The following is a 25,608-nucleotide window of genomic DNA, read 5'->3' as shown; positions in this document are numbered from 1 at the left end:
ATCTGAGTCTAATGTTGACACATAAAAATGCAAAGGACTGCCGGGCGTGGTAGCTCACACCTGTAATCCCAGCACTTTGGGAGGCCGAGGCGGGCAGATCATGAGGTCAGGAGTTTGAGACCAGCCTGGCCAATATCGTGAAACCCTGTCTCTACTAAAAATACAAAAATAAGCCAGGCATGGTGGCGCGTGCCTGTAGTCCCAGCTACTCAGGAGGCTGACACAGAAGAGTCACTTGAACGCGGGAGGCGGAGGTTGCAGTGAGCCAAGATTGTGCCACTGCACTCCAGCCTGGGCAACAGAATGAGGGACAAGAATAACCAATACAACCTTGAAAACAAGGTAGAACTTGCTCTCGATGGTATCAGGACATGGACATAATAAGGTATGGATAGACAAATAGAAAAGTGGTATAAAATGGCTCAGAAACAGGCCCATACATGTATAAACACCCGGCATACAATAGAGGTGGCCCTAGAGATTGGTGGGAAAAAAATTAACCTTTCAGTAAATGGTGCTGGCACACTTCCTGCTTCACACAAAAATCAACTGTAGGTTGATCAAAGACCTAAACGTGAAAGGAAGGCTATGCTATAAAGCTTTTAGAAGATAATAATAGAAGAATATCTTCATGACACAATAGGAAAAAGCTTTCTTAAACAACACACAGAAATCACTACAACGGAAAAAAATCGGTAAATTTGATATTAAATTTAGGAGCTTTGGAACAATATAAAGAAAACTAAGCTGGGCGTGGTGGCTCATGCCTGTAATCACAGCACTTTGGGAAGCCAAGGTGAGTGGATCACCTGAGCTCAACAGTTCGAGCCCAGCCTGGACAACGTGACAAAACCCCATCTTTACCAAAAATAAAAAAAATTAGCCAGGCGTGGTGGCACATGCCTGTAGTCCCAGCTACTCAGGAGGCTGAGGTGGGAGGATGGCTTGAACCCAGGAGGTGGAGGTTACAGTGAACTGAGATCACAGCACTGCACTCCAACTGGGTGATAGAGTGAGACCCGTCTCAAACAAAAAAAAAAAAAAAAGAAAAACTAAAAGTCAAACTCAGTGAAGATATCTGCAATATTTAAAATTGGTAAAAAAGAGAATATATATAGATCTCCTACAAAAAAGAAAGCTCCTTCCAAAGAACAGACAATATAATAGAAAAATGAGACATAACATGGCCGGGCACGGCTCATGCCTGTAATCCCAGGACTTTGGGAGGCTAAAGTGGGTGGATCACTTGAGGTCAGGAGTTCAAGACCAGCCTGGCCAAAATGGCAAAACCCCGTCGCTACTAAAAATACAAAAATTAGCAGGGCGTGGTGGTGGGCACCTGTAATCCCAGCTACTCCGGAGGCTGAGGCCGGAGAATCACTTGAAACTGGGAGGTGGAGGTTGCAGTGAGCTGAAATTGTACCACTGCACTCCAGCCTGGGCAACAAGAGCAGAACTCTGGCCAGGCACGGTGGCTCACACCTGTAATCCTATCACTTTGGAAGGCCAAGGCAGGCAGATAACCTGAGGTCAGGAGTTTGAGCCCAGCCAGGCCAACATGGCAAAACCCTGTCTCTACTAAAAATACAAAAATTAGCCAGGCGTGGTAGCGCACGCCCGTAGTCCTAGCTACTCAGGAGGCTGAGGCAGGAGAATCGCTTGAACCTGGGAGGCGGAGGTTGCAGTGAGCCGAGATCACGCCACTGCACTAAAGCCTGGCCAGGCAACAGAGGGGGCCCCATCTCAAAAAATAAAAAAATAAAAAAAAAAAAGCAGAACTCTATCTCAAAAAAAAAAAGAGGCATAACACTTGGAAAAGGTACCTCAAAAAACAAAATCCATGAGTAAAAATTAAATGAAGAGTTGTAGAAATGAAAACCTCAATGAGGTACTGTTATACAACCACCTCACAGGCGATCTGACAATATCAAATGTTAACAAGGATGTTGACTGATGAGAACACTCAGGCATGCTGGTGGTTATAAGCCACTTGGTTTTTAAAAATTAATGTTGCAGATATATTATTCCCTAGGTATGTAACATAAACTGGTACGTATGCACACCTAGATATATGTACAAGTATGTTCCAAGCGGCAAAAACTATAAACAACACAAATGTCCCTCCATCATATGTGTATACAGCCAAAAACTATAAAACACACAAATGTCCCCCATCATAAGACTGAAGAAATTGTGGCGTGGTCCATATAATATTCTAACTTTTTTTTTTTTGAGATGGAGTCTCTCACTGTTGCCCAGGCTGGAGTGCAGTGGCGTAATCTCCACTCATTGAAACCTCTGCCTCCTAGTTTCAAGCGATTCTCCTGCCTCAGCCTCCCAAGTAGCTGGGATTACAGGCACTTGCCAGCACGCTCGGCTAATTTTTTGTATTTTTAGTAGAGACGGAGTTTCACTATGTTTACCAGGCTGGTCTTGAACTCCTGACCTTGTGATCCACTCGCCTTGGCCTCCCAAAGTGCTGAGATTACAGGTGTGAGCCACTGCACCCAGGCTCTAACACCTTAAAGCAATGAAAAAAATTGTTATTTATATACAACTTGAATAAATCTCACAAATAAATCTCTTTAGTGAAAGAAGATGATGAATACACATTGTATGATTCCATTTATATGAAGTTCAAAATAGGCAAATTAAAGAATGTTCTTTAAGGATACATACAGAGGTGATACAAATATAAAAGAAAGCAAGAAAATTATGATCACAAAAGCCAGGGCAGTAGCTACCTCAAGGGAAGGTAGAGGAGGTTGTAAAGACCACAACAAAGGCTTCTAGAGTGCTGGCAACGTTGTATTTTTGGAAGTAAGTGGTATTATCTGTGCTTTATGTACTTCTCTCAATGTCTCTAACATTAAGACTGTTAAGAAAGAAGTAGAGTGATCCAGTAGAAACACAGATTCCACAGCACACATGACAGACAAGAGGCTTGATTTGGGAGTTCTTAGTAAACAGGTGATGAAACAGATGAGTGAAGCTTTGGAAGTAAATAAAAAATGATGAGTGAGCCAAGGACAAAAGTTCTATGAACAGAAATACTAAAGGAAGAGCAATAGAGAAGTCAATGAAGGACTAAGGAGAATCCAATAAAGATGCTGAAGAAACATGGAGCGAACTAGAAAAAGAGCTACAGCAGAAGACCAGGCGGAAGGGCATAGTCTGTCAAAAGTGCCAATTGTCAGGCACAGAAACGCAAGGCAGACAGGAAAAAAGGAACTGGATTTGGCAATTAAGAGGTCACTGGTAAGCTTAAAGCAAATTATAAATCAAAAGGGGAAAGAAAAACATGTCATACCTCAAGAAGAAAGTCTATTTTCTCTTTATTTGGTCTAAGAAATAGCTGGTTAAATTGAACACTAATTGTTCTGCCTTCCAGTATATCACGGACTGTATTACAGGCACAAACTTTAAAACAGATTTCATCTAGAGCTTCATTTCTGTAGAATACAAAAGTAGATCAACTAATGTTATTTTTACTACAAAAGAAAGGTGTATATTATACAACTATATTCACAAGAATGAGCCATTTATTCTTAAGAGGTAAGATTTTAGAATATTCAAGCATACCAATAAATATATACCAAATCATGGGGAGAAAGAAAGCAGAATAGGTTTTGAATTTATCAAGGGACAATGTAGTTACATATTAGACAACAGAATGGAATTTTGCTATGTATAATTTTTCTCCCAAGCAGTTTTTTTTTTTTTTTCTTTTGAGACGGAGTCTTGCTTTGTCACCCAGGCTGGAGTACAGTGGTGCAATCTCGGCTCACTGCAACCTCCACCTCCTGGGTTCAAGCGATTCTCGTGCCTCAGCCTCCTGAGTGGCTGGGACTACAGGTGTGCACCACCATGCCCAGCTAATTTTTCTATTTTTTGGTAGAGACGGGGTTTCACCATGTTGGCCAGACTAGTCTCAAACTCCTGACCTCAAGTGATCCACCCACCTCGGCCTCTCAAAGTGCTGGGATTATAGGCATGAGACACCTCGCCCGGCCCTGCAAGCACTTTTAAAACAGACTAGACGGAGGAACACCAGAGTGTTCCTCCACCCTATGTTAATTTCCCTTATATTAACAACATGAAAATAATGTCACAGAGCCATAGGAAATTTGAAAATGTGGTTTTGATAAACCAGAATGCACTTGCTGTTTTATTCAAAAATCAAGAAGTAATTTTTCAACTTACTTACCCCTGTTGAGCTTTCTTAAAGAGTTCTCTTAGGACTGACTGTCGGAACTGGACAGGTAAACTCAAGGTTAAGTTGTCTTCAATGAAAATCTGTATTACCTCCTAGAACACACACATAAAGTTGCACCCATTTCAAAAATCATGGTAAAGTTTTTTTACTTTAAACAAGTCTTTCTATAATGGAAAATACAAGTTGAAAAACAATCACAAAAATATCTTACTATGAAAACCTTTTCTTCCTAAAATTCTAAAATTTGATTAAGGGCAAAAACAGCCCTGCTACCCCTTTTTTAAAACTGAAGATCACAGACCAAAAATGAGAGGTAAGAAAGGAATCAGTCAATGAGAGGCAATCCAGCTATGTTATTAGAAAAAAATTTTAGGCCAGGCATGGTGGCTCACGCTTGTAATCTGAGCACTTTGGGAGGCCAAGGCAGGTGGATCATGAGGTAAGGAATTTAAAACCAGCCTGGCCAACATGGTGAAATCCCGTCTCTACTAAAAATACAAAAATTAGCCGGGTATCATGGCACTTGCATGTAATCCCAGCTACTGGAGAGGCTGAGGAAGGAGAACTGCTTGAACTCAGGAGGCGGAGGTTGCTTTGAGCTGAGATGGTGCCACTGCACTCCAGCCTGGGTGACAGAGCAATACTCCATCTCAAAAAAAAAAAAAAAAATTATTATTCTCTCTAAACACAAGCTCATAAAACAAACTAAAAAAATACTAATTAAATGGCCAGACACGGTGGCTCATGCCTATAATCCCAGCACTTTGGAAGGCCAAGGTAGGTGGATCACGAGGTCAGGAATTCAAGACCAGTCTGGCCAAGACAGTGAAATCCCGTCTCTACTAAAAACTACAAAAATTAGCCAGGCACGTTGGCAGGCGCCTGTAATCCCAGCTACTCGGGAGGCTGAGGCAGAAGAATCACTTGGACCCGGGCAGCAGAGGTTGCAGTGAACCAAGATCGTGCCACTGCACTCCAGCCTGGGCAACAGAGTGAGACTCTGTCTCAAAAAAAAAAAAAAAACTAATTAAAAAATTCAGCTGAAAAAACATGCTAACAAGTGATTATAATAAATTTAAATGATTTAAAATATATTATCTGTGAACTACAAAAAATACCCAGATTATTACATACAGACTTTTTCTTAGCTACTTCTCAAGAATGGAAGAGCAGGAAAGAAAGAAAGGGTGTTAACGAGAGGAGGGGGAAAGGAGATATCTGAAAATTAAACTAATCAGCCACTACCAGAAAAGTACTGACATAAGTGGTTTCAAAAATATGGAGCAACCACTAGCTTCACCTCCATAACAAAACATGAGCAAGGCAGGGCTCCACAGGAGCAACACAGCAGCTTCTCAAGTGTGAGAAGACACACCTGTTACAGCTGCTCAACTCCTACTTCATCAGCACTAAACAAAACCCACATAGTTCATAAAAACACAATGCCATTCGAAGAAATACAATTTCTAAGAGAGTCCTGCATGTATAAGTAATGAATCTCAAAGATGCAACAAAATTCCTATTTTCCCCGTCTTAGCTACCCATTACACTATTTTCTGATTTTTGTGGAACTTTATTACAGTCACAGTAACATGTACTTGTCTCTGGGTGATATTCCTAAGGTCTTGTTGGCACAGGTCTTACCACTCCAGAGAGGTTTTTTTGTTTTTTGGGTTTTTTTGTTTTTGAGGCAGGGTCTTGCTCTGTCACCCAAGCTGGAGTGCAGCAGTGCTATCATAGCTCACTGCAACCTTGAACTCCTGGACTCAAGCGATCCTCCCACCTTGGCCTCCCAAGTGCTGGGATTACAGGTGTGAGCCACGGTGCCCAGCCAACTTGTTAAAGAATCTGTATTTTATGATAATTGATCTCACCCTTCATAAACCTTTACTAGGGAGCTATAACTGAGAGAGCTCTAGTCTTTATTAAATTCACCTGTGTCGGTAATTAAACTTCAAGAAAGTTTAATTTTCTTTCCTAGGACAAAGCAATACTTTTAAAAAGGGCCAAAGATAGGGGAAAGAAGTGCCATCTTGTTTCCTCTCTTCACCTATTTTCTGTGAAAAACAAAAAAACCCCTAGGTAAGAGAACTATAAAGCTGGAATAATACCCAATTGGAGACACAAAACTAAGTTATGGCTTTATCATTTCATGATTCCTATTTTGAGTTAAACATGAATGAATGCACTGTTTATTCTCTAGAATGGAGGCTTTCCAATAAAGACTTTAAAAGCACAATTCTAATTTCCAGTTATTTTCATAACAAAACTGAAGATAAACACCCAGAGGTGTGTGCGTGTTGGTGGGGAGGGTGGGGCGCGCACAATAAAAGTCTCAAGAGACTCATTAAGGCGTTTTCATGAACCAAATCAAGATGGTGAGTAGGCTCAAGAGCAGGTGGGCTCTGTTTCTAACAGACCATCCAAACCCACCAGAACAACTGCCGTGTTCACTGTGCTCCCTTTCTCCTTCAGTCTTACTATTTGGAAGGGCTACTAAAGCTGGGCTACAAGCCACACATCCAAAAGACACAAGACTTAATGTTTTGTAAAACTAAAAGCTATTAATATCTTAGCAGCCAACAATCCCAGCTGCTAAACAAATGCACACACACACAACTAAAAGCTGTCTACCTGCAATTTTTAAATGTTAAAAGTTCTGCTTACAAGCATTTCTTACAAAATTTATTTAAGATAGACCAACTCTATACCTTTAAGATAACAGCAATGATGAAGTAACATCTGTATAATGCTTTGCCTTAGAATTTGTGCACTATAACTTCTCACTAGATTCTCATAAGAATCTTAGGAAATGGGATAATTATTACCATTATGTTACAGGCCAGTATGACAGTGTAAATGACTTGCCCCAAAACGCGTAACTGGTAAATGGATGGTGCGAGGATTTGAACTTAGTTTTGTCTGGCTTCCAAAACTTCACTGCATCCCCCTCATACACCTTACCTGATAGTTGCCAGATCTCAAACAAATATGGACTTGACTATATGGAGTCAACTGTTGAGATGTACTATCAGAAGAAGGTACAAGAACATCACATGCTTGACAATAGCCAGCTAACCGCTTCTCATCTATGGTACAATGAAGAGATAATGAACCTATCTGTAAAGTAAGAGGTATACACCATTATCCATTCATGTAATATAAACAATAGTCTAGCACCCCCTTAGCATGTTTTAACAGTACAAGGAAATGCTAACGAAAAATTCAAGCCGGGCTGGGCACAGCGGTTCACGCCTGTAATCCCAGCACTTTGGGAGGCCGAGACTGGCGGATCACAAGGTCGGGAGTTCGAGACTAGCCTGGCCAAGATGATGAAACCCTGTCTCTACTAAAAATACAAAAATTAGCCAGGCATGGTGGCGGGCACCTGTAGTCCCAGCTACTCGGGAGGCTGAGGTAGGAGAATGGCTTGAGCCCGGGAGGAGAGGTGGAGGTTGCAGTGAGCCGAGAAGGCGCCACTGCACTCCAGCCTGGGTGACAAAGCGAGACTCCGTCCCAGGAAAAAAAAAAAAAAAAAGAAAAGAAAAATTTAAAACTGGAAGAATCAAAAAACAAAAAGGTTAAAGGTTTAGAACAGGGGTCAAAAAACTATTGCTCATAGGCCAGATCCAGCCTATGGTCTGTTTTTGTTCGTCCCTTGAGCTAAGAACAATTTTTGTGGGCCGTAAACTATGCAAAGGGGACCAAAAAAATGGTAAGAATATGCAATAGAGACTGAATGTGGCCCAGAAAGCCTAAGATATTTGCTAACTGACCCTTTACAAAGAAAGTTTGCTGAAGCTTAGAGTTTTCAGGCCAACATACAAAAGGTGGACATCATTATCATACCAAGTATGTATGACAAGACATTAACAAAGAGCAAACAGTGTTAAAATTAAAAACAAGCTTAAAGGTTTTAAAAGACACATACCAGCAGAGATTTAAAGGAGCGAGCAAAGAGCATAATCATCACTCAATTGGAAAGAATAGAAATGCTTCTACCCAAACAGGATTAAAAAAAAAAAGTTTGAAAAAATATTTGTTTTAAATTACTATACCTGAAATACCATAAAATTAGAAAGCAGATTAATTTCCTAGCAAAGTAAAATGAGTATTTCTAATGGGTCTATCTAGAATAGTCAGAGCATTTAAACCTCTAGGGCATTTAATCAATATCTCTACTAAGGACAGCAGATTGAAGTGGGAATTTTTCCAGGCACCAGCCATATAAAAACCTAGTTATAGATATACTAGGTTTACAATTCAGTCATCTGAATCATAAAAAAGAAAAATGCAAATGATAAACACAGTAAAAATGTTTACCCATATTAGGAATTAATGAAAGCCAAGTTTATAAAAGATACTATATTTCACCAATCAAGTTAGCAAAAAAATAAAAATAAAAATTTGTTAAACACTCACTGCTAACTGAAGTGCTCTGTGAGAAATGTACCTGGAAAGTAATGTGGTTTGATAAATTATAGCCTTAGAAAAATACATAACCATTGACATGGCAATAATTGTAGGAACTTAAACATATCTGAAATCTGAAGAAAAATTTAGGCTTGCAGATACAAATATTGCAGCTGTATAATAAACCTAAATGCCCAAACATAAGGGAAATGAAGTAAATCAGAGTACTTCCACATAATATGATACATTTATAATGCCTAGTCAAAGATTTAAGCAAGATACAGAGTATTTACAATATGAGCTTAACTGTACAAAAACAGAGAGAAAAAAGCTGGAAGAAAATTTACTAGATTTATAAAAGGGGCTATATTTCCAGGTTATATTACTACAGATTTTTAAAAACCAGTTTTAGTACTTTCTTGAACATCACACATTTATAATAATGAACACGTTTTTATCATCAGAAAAATCAAAGCCAAAAAAATGTATAGATGTTTTAAAGAACTGAACATTAAGTTCCTATTATGACTGGATTTACCTCTGCAATTAGTTCTTTGGTTCTAAAAAATTTTTCCCTGGCATTTTCATAGACAGCTGAATTTGTGGAGCCTTGCTGGAAGTATGCTGCGCCCAAATCATAGCACACCTGAAATAATAATGAACACCAATTTGCTTAACAATTTCTCAGGTACTTAAGAGGTGACAGAACCAAAACTGTCTTTATCTCACGAAAACACAGAAAAAAAGACATAAAAAAACACATATTCCAAGGAGAGGTGCTACCACCAGTGTTCTTAGTCACAAGCAACATAAACCAACTCTGGTCAACTTAAGCAGAATATTGATTTACTGAGTAGATTTTAGGTCGCCTACAGAATTATTAAAAAGGCTAAAGAATCTGACTAGAAAAAAGGGCAAAGGAGGCATGCAGTCAGGATGAGAGCCAACACTAGTCTGGTGAAGAATCTCAACAGTAGATTCCACAGCTCCTGTCACCCATAGCCACCCGGACCAGACCCTGAAAGCAGCAGCTACACTCCTGCAAGTGCTGTCCCCGGAAACTAGATTTTACTGTCGCTGTTGCCGCTACCCACCACCACAATGGATTCTCCATCACTCTCAATGCTATGACTTACTAGGACCAGCTCATGATTCAGTCTAAAAGAAGCATACCCATCTGTAAAACTTACGTGATATGCCTGCCCTCAAGCCAGATAAGGCTAGAGAAAGCTAGTATTGGGAGTTTTTAGTTGATTCTATAAGAAGAAGCCTGGCTGGGCGCAGTGGCTCACGCCTGTAAACCCAGCACTTTGGGAGGCCGAGGCGGGTGGATCACGAGGTCAAGAGTTCGAGACCAGCCTGACCAACATAGTGAAACCCTATCTCTACTAAAAATACAAAAATTAGCTAGGCGTAGTGGCGCACACCTGTAATCCCAGCTATTTGGGAGGCTGGGGCAGGAGAATCGCTTGAACCCGGGAGGCAGAGGTTGCAGTGAGCCAAGATTGCACCACTGCATTCCAGCCTGGGCGACAGGGCGAGACTCTGTCTCAAAAAAAAAAAAGAAGCAGGCTCTGCCTCCTACAAGTCTGAAAAGATCGGGAATTTTCTAACACAGGAGAGGGAAAAAACGCTGGGGAGCCCCTCAAAAGTGAAGATGGTGCACGTCTACCGTAACATACTGGTTAAAGTGAGAAATGTATGCTAACCATAAAACTTTTCCAGTCGTATGTTTCTATGACAGAATTTGTATGTAAGATGTGGACACTAGGCAAAAAAGAAAATAATTTGTATGTTTTTCAAAAAGCTTATATTGACACCTGGAATTACTAAATGCAAAACTCAAAAAAGACTCAGATTATTTAGTTCAACTTGGCCATTTTATGGATAAGAATACAAACGCCCAGAAAGTGACATGAAAAGCATATAACCAAGTAATAGCAGAGCCAAAGTTTGAATTCAGATTCCTAAGCTCGTAATATTCTGACTCAAATTTATTCTACACATGGCTGACAGATCAAGTCTTCTTGATCTGACTGACTTAAGAAGACTTCAATTACTCCCCAAAACAGAAGAAAGTTCAAACTCCTTGGCCTGATCTGTAAGGATCTCAGAATGTGGCCTAATCTCTCTTTCCAAACCTCTCCACTGTGCTCTATTTTAATCACACCAGTCTTCTCAAGTCCCCATTCACATGAGATACTAGAAATATGCTTCATTCCACACCCCTTACTCCTTTTATACCACAAAACCAACCTTTGGCAACAGATACTTACTCCTCTTCCAAACTCCTAAGCTATAATCATGCCTGGTATTCATCATGAAACCACTCTTCACTGATATGCTTTATAAATATGGTTCTGTCCAATTCAAAGAATCCAGGTTAATTCTCCTTAGCCTCTACAACATTGCTTTGCACTATTTAGTCCACACTACATGTTTGGCTGACTTTTTTTTTTTTTTTTTGAGATGGAGTTTCACTCCTGTCGCCCAGGCTGGAATGCAATGGGGTGATCTCGGCTCACTGCAATCTCCTCTTTCGGGTTCAAGCGATTCTCCTGCCTCAGCCTGCCGAGTAGCTGGGATCACAGGCACCTGCCACAACGCCTAATTTTTGTGTTTTTCGTAGAAACAGGATTTTGCCACGTTAGCCAGGCTGGTCTAGAACTTCTGACCTCAGGTGATCCGCTCATCTTGGCCTCCCTTGGCTGATTTTCATTCTAGAGAGTTCCTCCTATCTGGAGTAAAGGGATACTAAAAGAGCAAAAAATACACACACACACACACACACACACACACACACACACCCATGCACATATATGCATACTTACTACAGTTATATATAATTCCCCTTTCTAGGCAAAGATAGACTGCAAAATACCAAAAACATATTTTCAAGTATTACTCTAGCAACTGACTAGCCATTACAATGAGTTTAGAGGTTAAGAGGTGCTCAATAGATTTACTGTAAAAACAAAAAAGCCTGATAATGAAGCTGCCCTGAAGGGCATTAAGGCCTGGTTTTATTGGGGGAAAAAAATAACAATTTTTCTTTTTAAGTCTAAGGTAAATTTTAGTAATGTAAAGAACCTACTTTAGATATGATCTGGTGGCTCACACCGGTAATCCCAGCACTTTGGGAGGCCGAGGCGGGCAGATCACTGGAAGTCGGGAGTTTGAGACCAGCCTGATCAACATGGAGAAACCCCATCTCTACTAAAAATACAAAAATTAGCCAGGCGAGGTGGTGCATGCCTGTAATCCCAGCTACTTGGGAGGCTGAGGCAGGAGAATTGCTTGAACCTGGGAGGCGGAGGTTGTGGTGAGCTGAGATCACGACATTGCACTCTAGTCTGGGCAACAAGAGTGAAACTCCGTCTCAAAAAAGAAAAACATTGTCATGCCAGGAAATGAGTGTTACCACTAATTTGCCCTTCAAAAAACAGGAATTGTCACTCAGCTATGTAAGTAAAAGAACATTTGATAGTTTGCCTAGCACATACAGATGTTTTACAGGAGTTTTGTTTTCAGGTTGTATCATCCACCATGTTGCAAAAATCAGAAGTGTCATCAACAACTTTTAAACGGGTTCTGAAAGATTATGAGATACTACATACCAGTAACACTCCTATATGCAAGTTTCATCAGTGATTTTAAAATGTTACCAAGTATCCTGTAATCCCAGCACTTTGGGAGGCCAAGGTGGGAGGATCCCTTGAGCCCAGGAGTTCCGAGACCAGCCTGGGCAACATAGGGAGACCCTGTCTCTATAAAAAAAAAATTAAAATTTTTTTTTTTTACAAAAAGGGTTACCAAGTATCAATACTTCATTAACTCCTACTCCTGCTGCAAACTCCAGCTCATCAGGCCTTGAATAAATGATTACCTTCAGCTCTGGAAACAGCTAATCTGAAAACGCACCTTCCCAAAACTGTCATAACTATTTTTACCCCTTTCCAGAAAAGGAATTAGTGATAAAAGAAGCCATGCCAACTCATACGAATAAGGAAAGACAATACAGTTTAGAAGGTACAATCTTAGTAGCCCTCTCTAGACAATCACTGAATACTTTAAAATTTCTATTTTACTCAAGGTCCTACTCTGGAAAGTAAGACGCAGAACATATTAAAAAAAAAAGAGAGAGAGAGAGATGTCAAAGAGTTATAATCCAGTAGGGAAAAAGAAGACATAAACACACAAAGTAATATCTGACAACGGCCGGGCGCGGTGGCTCACGCCTGTAATCCCAGCACTTTGGGAGACCGAGGCGGGCGGATCACGAGGTCAGGAGATCTAGACCACGCTGGCCAACACGGTGAAACCCCGTCTCTACTAAAAACACAAAAAATTAGCCGGGTGTGGTGGCAGGCGCCTGTAGTCCCAGCTACTCGGGAGGCTCAGGCAGGAGAATGGCATGAACCCGGGAGGCGGAGTTTGCAGTGAGCTGAGATCATGCCACTGCACTCCAGCCTGGGTGACAGAGCAAGACTCCGTCTCAAAAAAAAAACAAAAACAAAAACAAATAATACCTGACAATAAGCATCAACTGAAAACTGTGAAAGGAACAAGGGGCCCAGAGTTATAGAAAGAGGGCAAACTTAAGATCCCTGAAAAGCTAGACACTCTCTCTTGAGGTCTAGATTTTTCAAAGTCTAGCATAATATTAGTTTTTATCTTCTTTTGGTCTGATCAGATTTCTGATAATATGAAAGAACTGTAAATCAATTACATATAACTGTATTCTCAGTACTTAAACTCTGTCTCCTAAATACAATCCGGAAACTATTTCAGAGACAACAGATGACATAAAATTTCTCTTCCATTTCTTTTAGAAAAATGTCAAATCTTATAAATGTATAAATTAAATACAATGCAGTTTTAATAGCATCTTAAGAGACAAAGGCAGAAATAAATTCTAATTAAAAATAGGAGGATGATCTCATATTAAGATTTTCCAAAAAATTGCCCTACGTAAATTAAGTATCAAATGAATACCTGGCACTGCATTTCTTCGGTTTTGACTTTCAATCCAGCAGTAGAACTCTCAGTTTCTCCATTTACCATGCCTGGTTCCATGGCCAATAAATCTAGAGTTCTCATCGTATGGACATAAAGATCCTTGTTTAATTTTAGGGCTGCTTCTAGTACCAAAATAGAATCAGCAGCTTGTTCTTTGAGCTACAGAAATCAATAAACAAATAAAAATACAAAAATAGCAACTGATTATAATAACCAAAAATATTTACAGTCTATTTAGTAACTCAGTACACTAAGCTATTAAAAAAATTTTTAACACAGCAAGAGTACAATTACATTTGTTGAAATAAAGTTACCTTAAATGAAGGGAAATAAGTTCCTATTGTGAGGTTAGAAAATATGAAAAACAGGAGGGCCAGGCATGGTGGCTCACGCCTATAATCCCAGCACTTTGGGAGGCCGAGGCGGGCAGATCACGAGATCAGGAGTTCGAGACCAGCCTGACCAATAGGGTGAAACCTCATCTCTACTAAAAATACAAAAATTAGCCGGGCATGGGGGCAGACGCCTGTAATCCCAGCTACTCAGGAAGCTGAGGCAGGAGAATTGCTTGAACCTGGGAGGTGGAGGTCGCAGTGAGCCAAGATCGTGCCACTGCACTCCGGCCTGGGTGACAGAGCGAAACTCCATCTCAAAAAAAAAAAAAAAAAGAAAAAGACAATACAAAAAACAGGAAAGACTGGTATCTTTTTTCTGTAGAAAAGTTGATACTTTAGGCCAGGGGCAGTGGCTCACACCCGTAATCCCAACACTTTGGGAGGCCAAGCGAGGCAGGAGGATCATCTGTGGCCAGGGGTTCGAGACCTGCCTGGCCAGCATGGAGAAATCCTGTTTCTACTAAAACTACAAAAATTAGCTGGCCATGGTAGCATACACTTGTAATCCCAGCTACTAGGGAGGCTGAGGCACAAGAATTGCTTGAACCTAGGAGACAGAGGTTGCAGTGAGCTGAGATCATGCCACTGCACTCCAGCCTGGGTGACAGAGTAATATTCTGTCTAAAAAAGAAAAGTTAATGCTTTAAAGATTTAGCTGGTGGCCAGGCACGGTGGCTCACACCTGTAATCCCAGCACTTTAGGAGCCCAAGATGGGCAGATCACGAGGTCAGGAGTTCAAGACCAGCCTGACCAACATGGTGAAACCCCATCTCTACTAAAAATACAAAAATTAGCCAGGCATGGTGGAGCACGCCTATAATCCCAGCTACCTGGGAGACTGAGGCAGAAGAATCGCTTGAACCCGGGAGGCAGAGGTTGCAGTGAGCTGAGATCGCACCATTGCACTCCAGCCTGGGCAACAGAGCAAGACTCCATCTCAAAAAACAAAAAAGATTTAGCTGGACACAGTGACTCATATATGTAATACCAGCACTTTGGGGGTCCGAAGTGGGTGGATCGCTTGAGTCCAGAAGTTCGAGACCAGACTGAACAACATGGCAAAATCCCATCTCTACAAAAAATACAAAAATTAGTCTAGTGTGGTGGCACATGTCTGTAGTCCCAGCTACTGGCAACACTGAGGTGGGAGGATCGCTTGAGGCTGGGAGGTGGAGGCTGCAATGAGCCAAGATCAGGCCACTGCACTGTAGCCTGGGCAACAGAGTCAGACCCTGTCTAAAAAAGAAAAAATTTGCACTGTTCCACTTGATTTATTCAAGAAATATCTGTATACTTCAATGTGCCAGTCATTTTATTAGGAACTAGATAACAACAATGAAATGATGTAGGCTTTGGCTTCCACATTCAAAATATTACAGCATATTTGCTATAGTGAGATACAGATCGTTTCTTACCTTTTTCTCTCCTCACCCAGCCCCTACACCTCACATGGTAATATGGAACATTGTAGGTGTTAATTACAGAAATCATTTCTAAATTATAGAAACTGTCAGGTTTCTAATTTTCCATTATGTAGATCAATTAAAAAATAACTGCTAGGCTAGGTACAGTGGCTCACACCTGTAATCCCAGCACTTTGGAAGGCCAAGGTGGGTGGATCACTTGAGGTCAGGAGTTCGAGACCAGCCTGGCCAACACGGTGAAACCCGTCTCTACTAAAAATACAAAAAATTAGCTGGGCATGGTGGCAAGTGCCTGTAATCCCAGCTATTCAGGAGGCTGAGGCAGGAAAATTGCTTGAAGCAGGGAGGCGAAGTTGCAGTGAGCTGACTCCGCCACTGCACTCCGGCCTGGTAACAGAGCAAGACTCTGTCTCAAAAAAATAAAAAATAAACTGCTGTAATTTATTATAAAAGTAATTTTAAAATATAAACTATACATGTTTGTCATAGAGTTTTTAGAAAATACAAAATATAAAGACGTCACCTGTAAAATCAGTTTCTCGTATCTACTAATGTATCACGAAACAGAATCAATCAGTAGTACTCTACTATTAAAACTGAAAGACTATGTGTGATTTAGAATATTACCTATATCCTAATAGTAAAAACCTTAATGTCACGGCACTTAGACCTTCACAACTCTCATGTCCCCAAGATTAGAAGACACATCTATAAATGGTATAAAGGCAGGGGTCCCCAACCCCCAGGCCATGGACTGGTACCAGGAACCAGGCTGCACAGCAGGAAGTGAGCAGCGGGTGAGCAAAAGAAGCTTCATCTGTATTTACAGCTGCTCCCCATCGCTCGCATTATGGCCTGAGCTCCACCTCCTGTCAGATCAATGGGGGCATTAGATTCACACAGGAGCGCAAACCCTATCGTGAACTACACACGCGAGGGATCCATGTTGTGTCCTCCTTGTGAGAATTAATGCCTGATGATCTGTCACTGTCTCTCATCACCCCCAAATGGGACCATCTAGTTGCAGGAAAACAAGCTCAGGGTTCCCGTTGATTCTAAATTATGGTGAGTTGGATAATTATTTCCATATATATTACAACGTAATAATAATGGAAATAAAGTACACAATAAATGTAACGTGCTTGAATCATCCTGAAATCATCCTCGCCCCCCGCCCCCCACACCACATCCAGTTTCCTGGAAATTGCCTTCCACAAAACCAGTCCCTGGTGCCAAAAAGGTTGGGAACTGCTGCTCTAAAGTTGTTCCTGAAGTGTTACTGTGTAACTGATGCCAATACTTACCACTTTCAAAATGTTTTCTGTTAGCTCTTTTTCCTGTTGCATTTGATTCATACTAAAAGAGAAACAATTGAAAACAAAAGTATCAAAAGTTACTCTCAAGACTAAAAAATTCAAAACTTAAGAGCATCATTCTTGAAAGTCAGGTTCAATTTAAGAGTGTTTTTAATGTTATTCATTTTCATGTTTGAAAAAACAAAACCCTCAACTATTATGATGCTTATTAACGTACCAGTATTTTCTCATTTACTTTGTTTGGGTTTTTTGTTTTTGAGACACCCTGTCACCCAGATTGGAGTGCAGTGGCAGCCTCAACCTCCTGGGTTCAAGTAATCCTCCCACCTCAACCTCCCAAAGTGTTAGGATTACAGGTGTGAGCCACAGCACCCAACCTCATTTACTCAACTGAAGAGCAAAACTTACAACAAAAGCTCATTTGTATCAAGTTAGAAACTATGCTTTCTAGCTCCAAATTTGGCTAGGCTGCCATGTGGAAATTAAGAATCAGGTTTAAAACTCCATCCTCCACTCCTGCTGCTTCACTTGACAAGCCTTAAAAATAAAAAATTTAAAAAAAGAAAACCTCCAGATACGATCAACTTTTGTATTGTACTCTAATATTGACATATATTAATTTCCCCACATACAAATCTTTTTCAAGACAATTTAATTAAATGAAAAAAATATCAGGCTGGGTGCCGTGGCTCACACCTGTAATCCCAGCACTTTGGAAGACCAAGGCGGGTGGATCACCTGAGGTCAGGAGTTCGACACCAGCCTGGCCTACATGGTGAAACCCAGTCTCTACTAAAAAATGCAAAAATTAGCCAGGCTTGGTGGCCCACACCTGCAATCCCAGCTACTTGGGAGGCTGAGGTGGGAGAATCACTTGAACCCAGGAGGTGGAGGCTGCAGTGAGCCGAGATCACACCACTGCATTCCAGCCTGGGCGACAGAGTGAGTCTCCATCTCAAAAAAAAAAAACAAAAAAAAAAACTTGACTGCTTTCAGATAAATGGCACAATTCCCAAAGCACTTCCCTTCTTAGAACTCTGTATCTAGCACATTACCTGACTCTCCAGCCCCTCTAACTCCTTCAAACAAACCTTCACACAGGCCTTCTGCCCTCCTATTCCTGCTCTACTTCTTCTATAACAGAGGTTATTAAAAACTTGCAAACATTTTTAAAACTCCAATGAAAAAAGTGCCAAGTAAAGGTCATAGCCACCAACTTACACACTTAACTGAGGGGGTCCGGGTTTTGCCTGTTTGACTGGAAAACTACTTTGAACAATTGTCCTAATTGCCCTGAAGAAAAGACAGGAAAAAGAAAATTTCATACATTATAAATGTCATCTCAATTATTTTTTCAAGTACTCCTTAGGTTTGTATAAATTATATGAAGCATTAATTGACACATGGTAAATCCTGCATAAGTCATCCACATTTTTATCAGATTGCTTTTCATCTATGCAGTCACAAATTTTCTCCACCATTAGACTCACAGTTCCCCAGATTTGAAAAATCCCTGCAGCAGAATGGGTCCATTAAAAGAATATCCTTGAAAGCCACAGTGCAATAAAACAGAGGTTGCCCAACGCCTTCTGAGTTTATGAAAACATTTACCATCTATTATAGAGAAGTACAGCCATGGCAGTGGTCGGAGGTAAAGTGGCCAGATCCATGTCTACATGCTTTGTCCCAGGAGGAACTTTACTGATGCAGAGTAGTTCATTTAGTAGCATATTCAATACTGGAACAGACAAACTTGAAGAAGCAAAACGTACATGTTTGCACATTAATTGTGAAAGAAACACAAAATACATACAAAATTCCATATCCTCGCTGAAAATACCTACATTGTTAAGGAACCACATCTCTGGGTTTAGCTATCAAATGTGAAAAAGTTTTTTTTTCTTTTTTTTGAGACAGAGTCTCGCTCTGTCGCCCAGGCTGGAGTGCAGTGGCACAATCTTGGCTCACTGCAAGCTCCGCCTCCCGGGTTCATGCCATTCTCCTGCCTGAGCCTCCTGAGTAGCTGGGATTACAGGCGCCCGCCACCATGCCCAGCTAATTTTTTGTGTTTTTAGTAGAGACGGGGTTTCACCATGTTAGCCAGGATGGTCTCCATCTCCTGACCTTGTGATCTGCCTGCCTCAGCCTCCCACAGTGCTGGGATTACAGGCGTGAGCCACCGTGCCCGGCTTAAATGCGAAAAGATTTTTAAAACTTTTTATTATGAAAAAACGTAAAACATAAAAGTAGACAGGATATAATGAACCCCTATGTACCATCATCTAGCAATTATCACCTGATGGCCAATCTTACTTCATCTCTATTCTTCCCCACTTCCCAAATCATTTCGTCCATAAATATTTCAGAATATATTTCAAAAAATTAACTCTTAACATAATCACAATATTAATTTCACATCTAAAAAACTTAGACTTGCTTACTGTCAAACAGCCTATCAGTGTTCAATTTTCCAGCTGCCTCATATATGTCATACTTCTTTGTACCCATTGCTATCTGTTGATGTCTCTTCAGTCTATAACGTATAGCTTCCCCTGCTCAGATTAAAAATACACTTTATGGTGGCGGGCGCCTGCAGTCCCAGCTACTCGGGAGGCTGAGGCAGGAGAATGGCGTCAACCCAGGAGGCGGAGCTTGCAGTGAGCGAATATCGCGCCACTGCACTCCAGCCTGGGTGACAGAGCGAGACTCCGTCTCAAAAAAAAAAAAAATTCACTTTAAAAATTCTAATATTTAATGCTGAAGAATGTGGTTAAAAAGAGGGTTTTTGAATACTACTGGTGAGAATATAAACTCTTTTGGAATGCAATCCAGCAATATTCATGTGTCTTAACAATGTTTATACTGCACGATCCAGCAATTTAAGGAGCTATCCTAAGAATACAACTCAAAATACAGATAAACTTATTTTATGGGCAAAGATATTTAAGGCCCTGTGATTTATATCAGTGAAAAACTAGAAATAAACTAAATGACTGTCAATTAAGGAACAGTTAATAAATTACCCATACAACGGAATTCTCTCCAAAAAATAAAAAAGGGGAAATGCTCATGATACAGCTAGGTGAAAAAACCAGGAATAAAAACAGTATATAGGGTATGATCACAACTTTAAGCCTATGGAGAACAAAGAAAAAAAATTACATGAAAATGTCAAAAAAAACCCCTCTCCTCCCCAATTATTTCCTATTTTTTAAATTTTTCCCAACTTCCTATAAGGGATGTTTTAAATTGTGATGAGAAGGGGATGATAATAAATCATTTTCTAATAAAAGGCTTGAAATTATTTATATTTAAGCAAATAAGCACTGACTCTAATCAGCTGTTTTAATAGGAGATAGTGATTTATGACCAGTAAAATCAACTCAATTATTCAACAGCAAATCATTCATATTACACAACATCTATCATTAATTTTTATTCATTTTCTTCAGATATGTAAAAGTCACTTGAGAAATTTACAACAGTTTAGGTGTGGATTTTCTCTAGTTACCACATCAAAAGTAATGTTATACTTGCATATTTTATCAAGAATATATAATATTTATTTTATTATTTTTTTTTTTTTTCCGAGTCTTACTCTATCGCCCAGGCTGGAGTGCAGTAGCGCCATCTCGGCTCACTGCAACCTCAGCCTCCCGGGTTCAAGCGATTCTCGTGCCTCAGCCTCCCAAGTAGCTGAAATTACAGGCGCCCGCCACCATGCCCGGCTAGAGACGAGGTTTCACCATGATGGCCAGGCTGGTCTCAAACTCCTGACCTCAAGTAATCTGCCAGCCTTGGCCCCCAAAGTGCCGGGATTATTATAGGCGTGAGCCACGGCGCCCAGCACGTAATTTTTAAGAGCCGATATCATAAAAGCATATATAGAAATAAACCAAGATATCTAAATAGCACTTCAAATGAAATTTCACTGAAATCTTGGATACCTTTTCTCTAATATGTCTAAGTCCCACTTCAAATGTGCAGCAACTTTAAGAGCAAGTAGTTTTAAAATACGATTTCTCTTGTTATCAGGCGGAGGTTGAACTTGGTTTTGTTCATTAACTGAAGGTTTGGAAGCCTGTTCCAAAAACTGAACTATAAGTTGAACTGGTGCAGGATCTAGGGTTTAAAAGAAAATAAATTCTTAAATTTAAGTTTTAATTATGTAGATACAAAAGGATTCACTATTGGTTTGGTTTTTTTGGGGGGGTGGGTGGGGGGGGGGGGAGTTTGGGTTTTTTTTTTGCCACAAAAGGAATCCAAACAGCTGCGCTGTTAAAATGACTAAGGAATACGTATGTAAGAAGTGTGCCTGGGGGTTAAAGGAGATGCGGAAGAGTGGTAAGGAGGAAGGGTAACAGATTAGAGTGGAAGAAAGCAAAAAAAAGCACCTTACGGGGAAGAACATAACAGTCATAGATTTCTGGTTCTGCAAATAACCACTGCCAATTAGAAGAATGAGATATAAATATTAGAACTATTATTTTGACACTTAATTAGGGGGACCTCCATCAAGTGACCTCTCCGTACCTGCTTCTTCCAATGCAAAATAGAGGATCATTTTGAAGATTAAATTAAAGGAGGTAACGGATGTGAGCAATTAAGCACAGTGCATGGCACCCGGAAAGCACTCAACAAATTATCTTTCAAAAGGAATGAATTAAGGGCATTATACAGGTGCCAAAACTGCCTAAGTACACTAACTTCTTACACAGTGGTCTCTATCAGTGAAGGCCAGTCTGAGACTGAACAAGCCATATCTAGATTTGAATTTAGAGAAATGCTATCCGAGGAACTTACCTTTTTGTGCCAATACCTTTTTTGAGAATGCCTGGAGTTTTCCTCCTCCCCCATCAATCACACCCATTTAACTGGGCTATTAATCATTATCATCACTATACAAAGCCATCTTGCAAATGTGCAGCAGTTCCTACTTTCAAAGATTTTCTTTTAACTTACAGCCCAACTTTGGAATAAGAGTCAATAAAATTCCCTCACTGAAGAAAAAAATGTTTAAATAAAACCTAAGATAATAACTAGCGTCACGATCAACACCCAACAGCTGGTTTCTCCCCAGCTCCCTGAATTTATTCAGCTTGGGGTTGAAGGAGGCGTCTGGTCAGCCTCCCCGACCCAAGCAACCACAAGACCCGCCTCGCAGCCTCTAAAACCCCAACAGTAAAAAGGTAAATCGTAAAAAGGACCAAAGGGTTTAGGATGACAGCACCAAGCCCTCCCCTCCGGGGGTAGGAGAGCCTTTGTTTCGAGCTTTTCTTTGACCCTCCACCCGGGCATGTTTAAGGGAAGCGAGGAGCCCGGCCGGAGCTGGGCTCCTGTGCGCGCCTCCCAGGCCGCAGCTTCGGTGACCGAGAAGGCGGGGAGCGGAGGGAAGCTGGGCGGACAGCGCCGGTGGCCGGGTCCCGCTCCCCAGGTGCAGGCGCCGCGCTCACCCGGGCAGGGCTTGCGCAGATGTTTCTCCAACAGTGACTCCTCCAGCAGAAACTCAAACCAGCAGGTCTGCGGCGGGGTGCAGGGCCGGCTGGAGGTGGCCGCCTCCCGGTCCGCCGCCTCCGCGCTCATCCTGCCCCCGCCGCCGCTACCACCAGGGCCGCTTCCCGGCTCCAACCTGACACTTGGATGCGGGCCGGTGCCTGGGGTATGCGGAACCCGGTGGGAGAGAGGCCACCCTCCGAACGTCCCGGAAACTCACACAATCCAAAATGGCGGCGCGGGCCAGCCGGAGCTGCGGTCCTGGATCCGCCTCCCCGCGCCACCGCCGCGCCTTCGGACCAATCGTTGTTCGGGTTGGAAGGAAAGGGGCGTGACTAACCTTCGAACCACGCCTCCTCCCGGTTGCCATAGGAGACGGCGCCGCATGAAGCCGGGTCGCGGGTGGGTTTTCCGTGTTCCCTGACAGTTCTCCAGCGAGAAAATGAGACAACCTCATCTAGGGTTGCAACGGGCCTCAATATTTTCGTAAAGGCGAAGCGAAGGGTTCTAGTTGTGACCCAAGCAAAGTTTATCTCCTGTGCTTTCAATTTCCCCGTTCCCATTTCTGAGATTTCCTCGCACCTGGGTCCTCTCCTCAGATGCTCCCGCCGTCCTGCCGAGAACACCAGCTTCCCACTCGCTTCCTGGACGGATGGCAGCATACGGTGAGCAGCCCTTGCTGCTAGCTCCCGATACTTAGAGCCTAGTTGATCCTTTCGATATCCCCGCTAGAGGCGCTGTTAACCCTATACATTTACCTCCGTTCTGTGATGTTCTTGTATTTTTCATTAACGATTAAAACTGAAAAAAGATGCATTCATAGATCGTGAATACAAGGCCAGCCTGACCAATATGATGAAACCCCGTCTCTACTAAAAATACAAAAATTAGCCGGGCTTGGTGGCGGACGCCTGTAATCCCAGCTGCTCAGGAGGCTGTGGCAGGAGAATCGCTTGAACCCGCGAGGCGGAGGTTGCAGTGAACCGAGATCGCTCCATTGCACTCCAGCCTGGGCAACAGAGCGAAACTCTGTCTCAAAAAAAAATTTTTTTTAAGTAGCCGGGTATGGTGACACACACCTGTGGTCCCAGCTACTCAGGAAGCTGAGGCGGGAGGATCACCTAAGCCTAAGAGATTGAGGTTGCAGTGAGCTGTGATTGTGCCGCTACACTCCAGCCTGGGCAACAGAGTGAGACCCTGTCTCACAACGAGAAAAAAAAAAAGAAAGAAAAAAAAGGAAATCAGTACAGATTAACTTGACATTTTGACATTTGTATTACATATGTAAAAATAAGTTTTAATTAAGGAAGAGTTCATTATTCCACTACCATCTAATACAATAACAACATTATATATTTCAAGTCCCAAGGTGTTTTATTTAGACTCAAAAATGTCTTGCCATAAAAGTGTTACAGCACTGAACTCCCCTTTTCAGAGTGGGTAATTGAATACTTGAAGGTTGACAGAGATCTTGAAGTTTATTAAACTTAGAGACCATCTCTTAGAGGGAGTCATAACTTAAGACTTCATCAACATTGGAGGAGTCTAATGAACTCAAGCTTCCAGCCAGGGACTCTTGTCCCTCTAATGCAGGGCAGGTGACCCCAAATTGGAACTTCACCCCAGAGAGTTCTTTGCTTTGTCCAGGAAAGAATTCAAGTGTGAACCAGTGGTAGAAGAGAACAGCTTTACTGAAGTGGCAGTGTTACAGCTCTGTGACTGCCCCTGCAGAGCAGGGCTAACCCACAGGCAGTGCGCTGAGAATACCAGCTCAGGGAGGTTCTGCAGGCATATTTACACCCACTTTTAATTGCATGCAGATTAAGGGGAAGTTTATGCAGAAATTTCTAGGAAAAAGGTAGTAACTTCTGGGTCATCGGGTCATTACCATAGAATGGGGTGGCAATGCCCAGGTGTTGCCATGGCAATGGTAAACCGACATGGCACACTGTTGAGCATGTCTCATGGAAAGCTGCTTCAGCCCCATCCCTGAATTTGGTCCGGTGTCCAAACCCTGACTCCAGAGTCGCATCTCACCTCCTACCTCACTTCTGAGCAGTATGTTTGGAGGGTGTCTGTCAGAAGACCCTCAAAACTACCAGTTGCTTCTGCTTTGATGCAAGACACATATCCCAGCTGTGGCCAAGTTTGCTTGCCTGGGTCTGGAGTGACACATCTTTCCCTGTCAGTGTGTGACAATCCTGGTGTGGGTTCAGTGTTCTTGAAAGGTGTCCCAGAATGTCAAAAAGCCAAGGCTTCTTCAACTTGCTATGTCTTCGGCTCTCAGAAACAACAGAGGCAAAAGAAATATTTAAAATTTTGATTTAAAAAATAATACACTTGGAAAGATACCATCAGGAAAGTGGAATGACAACCCAAAGACTAGAAGAAAATATTTGCAAATCATGTGTCTGATAAGGGACTTACATCTAGAATATGTAAAGAACTCTTACAACCCAGCAACAACACAGTGAGTAAAGGATTTGAATTGGCCAGGCACGGTGGCTCACGCCTGTAATCCCAGCACTTTGGGAGGCCGAGGTGGGTGGATCACCTGAGGTCAGGAGTTCAAGACCAGCCTGGCCAACATGGTGAAACCTCATCTCTACTAAAAATACAAAAATTAGCCTGGCATGGTGGCGGGCACCTGTAATCCCAGCTACTTGAGAGGCTGAGGCAGGAGAATTGCTTGAACCCACGAGGCAGAGGTTGCAGTAAGCTGAGATTGTGCCACTGCACTCCAGCCTAGGCAACAGAGCGAGACTCCGACAGAGCGAGACTCCATCTCAAAACAAAAAAAAAAAAAAAAAAAAAAGGATTTGAATTGATCATTCTCCAAAGAAGATATTACAAATGGGCAATATGCACATGAAAATGCTCAATATCATTAGTCGTTAAAGAAACACAAATCATCGGCCAGGTGCGGTGGCTCACGCCTGTGATTTCATCACTTTAGGAGGCCGAGGTGGGTGGATCACAAGGTCAGGAGTTCAAGACCAGCCTGGCCAAGATGGTGAAACCCTGTCTTTACTAAAAATACAAAAATTAGCCGGGCATGGTGGTGATGCGTCTGTAATCCCAGCTACTCGGGAGGCTGAGACAGAGAATCACTTGAACCCAGGAGGTGGAGGTTGCAATGAGCTGAGATCATGCCACTGCACTCCAGCCTGGGTGACAGAGTGAGACTGTCTCAAAAAAAAAAAAAAAAAGGAAAGAAAAGAAAAGAAACGCAAATCACTAGCCTGGGCAACAACGTGAGACCCCATCTCTACAAAAAACACAAAAATTAGCCAGGCATGGCGATACATGCCTGTGGTCCCAGCTACCCTGG

General features: G+C 41.8%; 1 protein-coding gene across 5 annotated transcripts in view, besides 2 other annotated features; it reads right to left on the bottom strand.

Moving 5' to 3' along the window:
* Positions 1-22,512, bottom strand: part of INTS8 (integrator complex subunit 8) — a 58,460-nt gene extending 35,948 nt beyond the window's left edge. For 2 of the 5 annotated variants that reach the window (NR_073444.2, NM_017864.4), the window contains exons 1-10: positions 22,238-22,512; positions 20,732-20,906; positions 18,396-18,536; positions 18,006-18,077; positions 16,773-16,824; positions 13,625-13,807; positions 9,168-9,275; positions 7,181-7,336; positions 4,208-4,308; positions 3,311-3,452 (exon numbers count right to left, since the gene is read on the bottom strand). Coding sequence is in view for 2 of the 5 variants with exons in the window: in NM_017864.4 (NP_060334.2) it covers positions 3,311-3,452; positions 4,208-4,308; positions 7,181-7,336; positions 9,168-9,275; positions 13,625-13,807; positions 16,773-16,824; positions 18,006-18,077; positions 18,396-18,536; positions 20,732-20,906; positions 22,238-22,367 (1,260 nt within the window). In the remaining 3 variants the exon portion in view is untranslated. Of the gene's footprint in view, positions 1-3,310; positions 3,453-4,207; positions 4,309-7,180; positions 7,337-9,167; positions 9,276-13,624; positions 13,808-16,772; positions 16,825-18,005; positions 18,078-18,395; positions 18,537-20,731; positions 20,907-22,237 lie in introns of those variants that run through there. The other 3 variants (NR_073445.2, XM_047421951.1, XM_047421952.1) reach the window with 3 other exon arrangements.
* Positions 21,866-21,925: an enhancer, noted in NCBI's record as "active region_27635". NCBI's record gives its function as "activates an Ori minimal core promoter by ATAC-STARR-seq in GM12878 lymphoblastoid cells {active_cell/tissue: GM12878}" and the evidence as "EXISTENCE:reporter gene assay evidence [ECO:0000049][PMID:35858748]".
* Positions 22,086-22,475: a silencer, noted in NCBI's record as "silent region_19369". NCBI's record gives its function as "represses an Ori minimal core promoter by ATAC-STARR-seq in GM12878 lymphoblastoid cells {active_cell/tissue: GM12878}" and the evidence as "EXISTENCE:reporter gene assay evidence [ECO:0000049][PMID:35858748]".

Source organism: Homo sapiens, chromosome 8, assembly GCF_000001405.40.
Source record: "Homo sapiens chromosome 8, GRCh38.p14 Primary Assembly".
NCBI classification, from domain to species: domain Eukaryota; kingdom Metazoa; phylum Chordata; class Mammalia; order Primates; family Hominidae; genus Homo; species Homo sapiens.
Note: the sequence above shows the minus strand (reverse complement) of the source record. Positions and strands in the feature narration are given on the sequence as shown.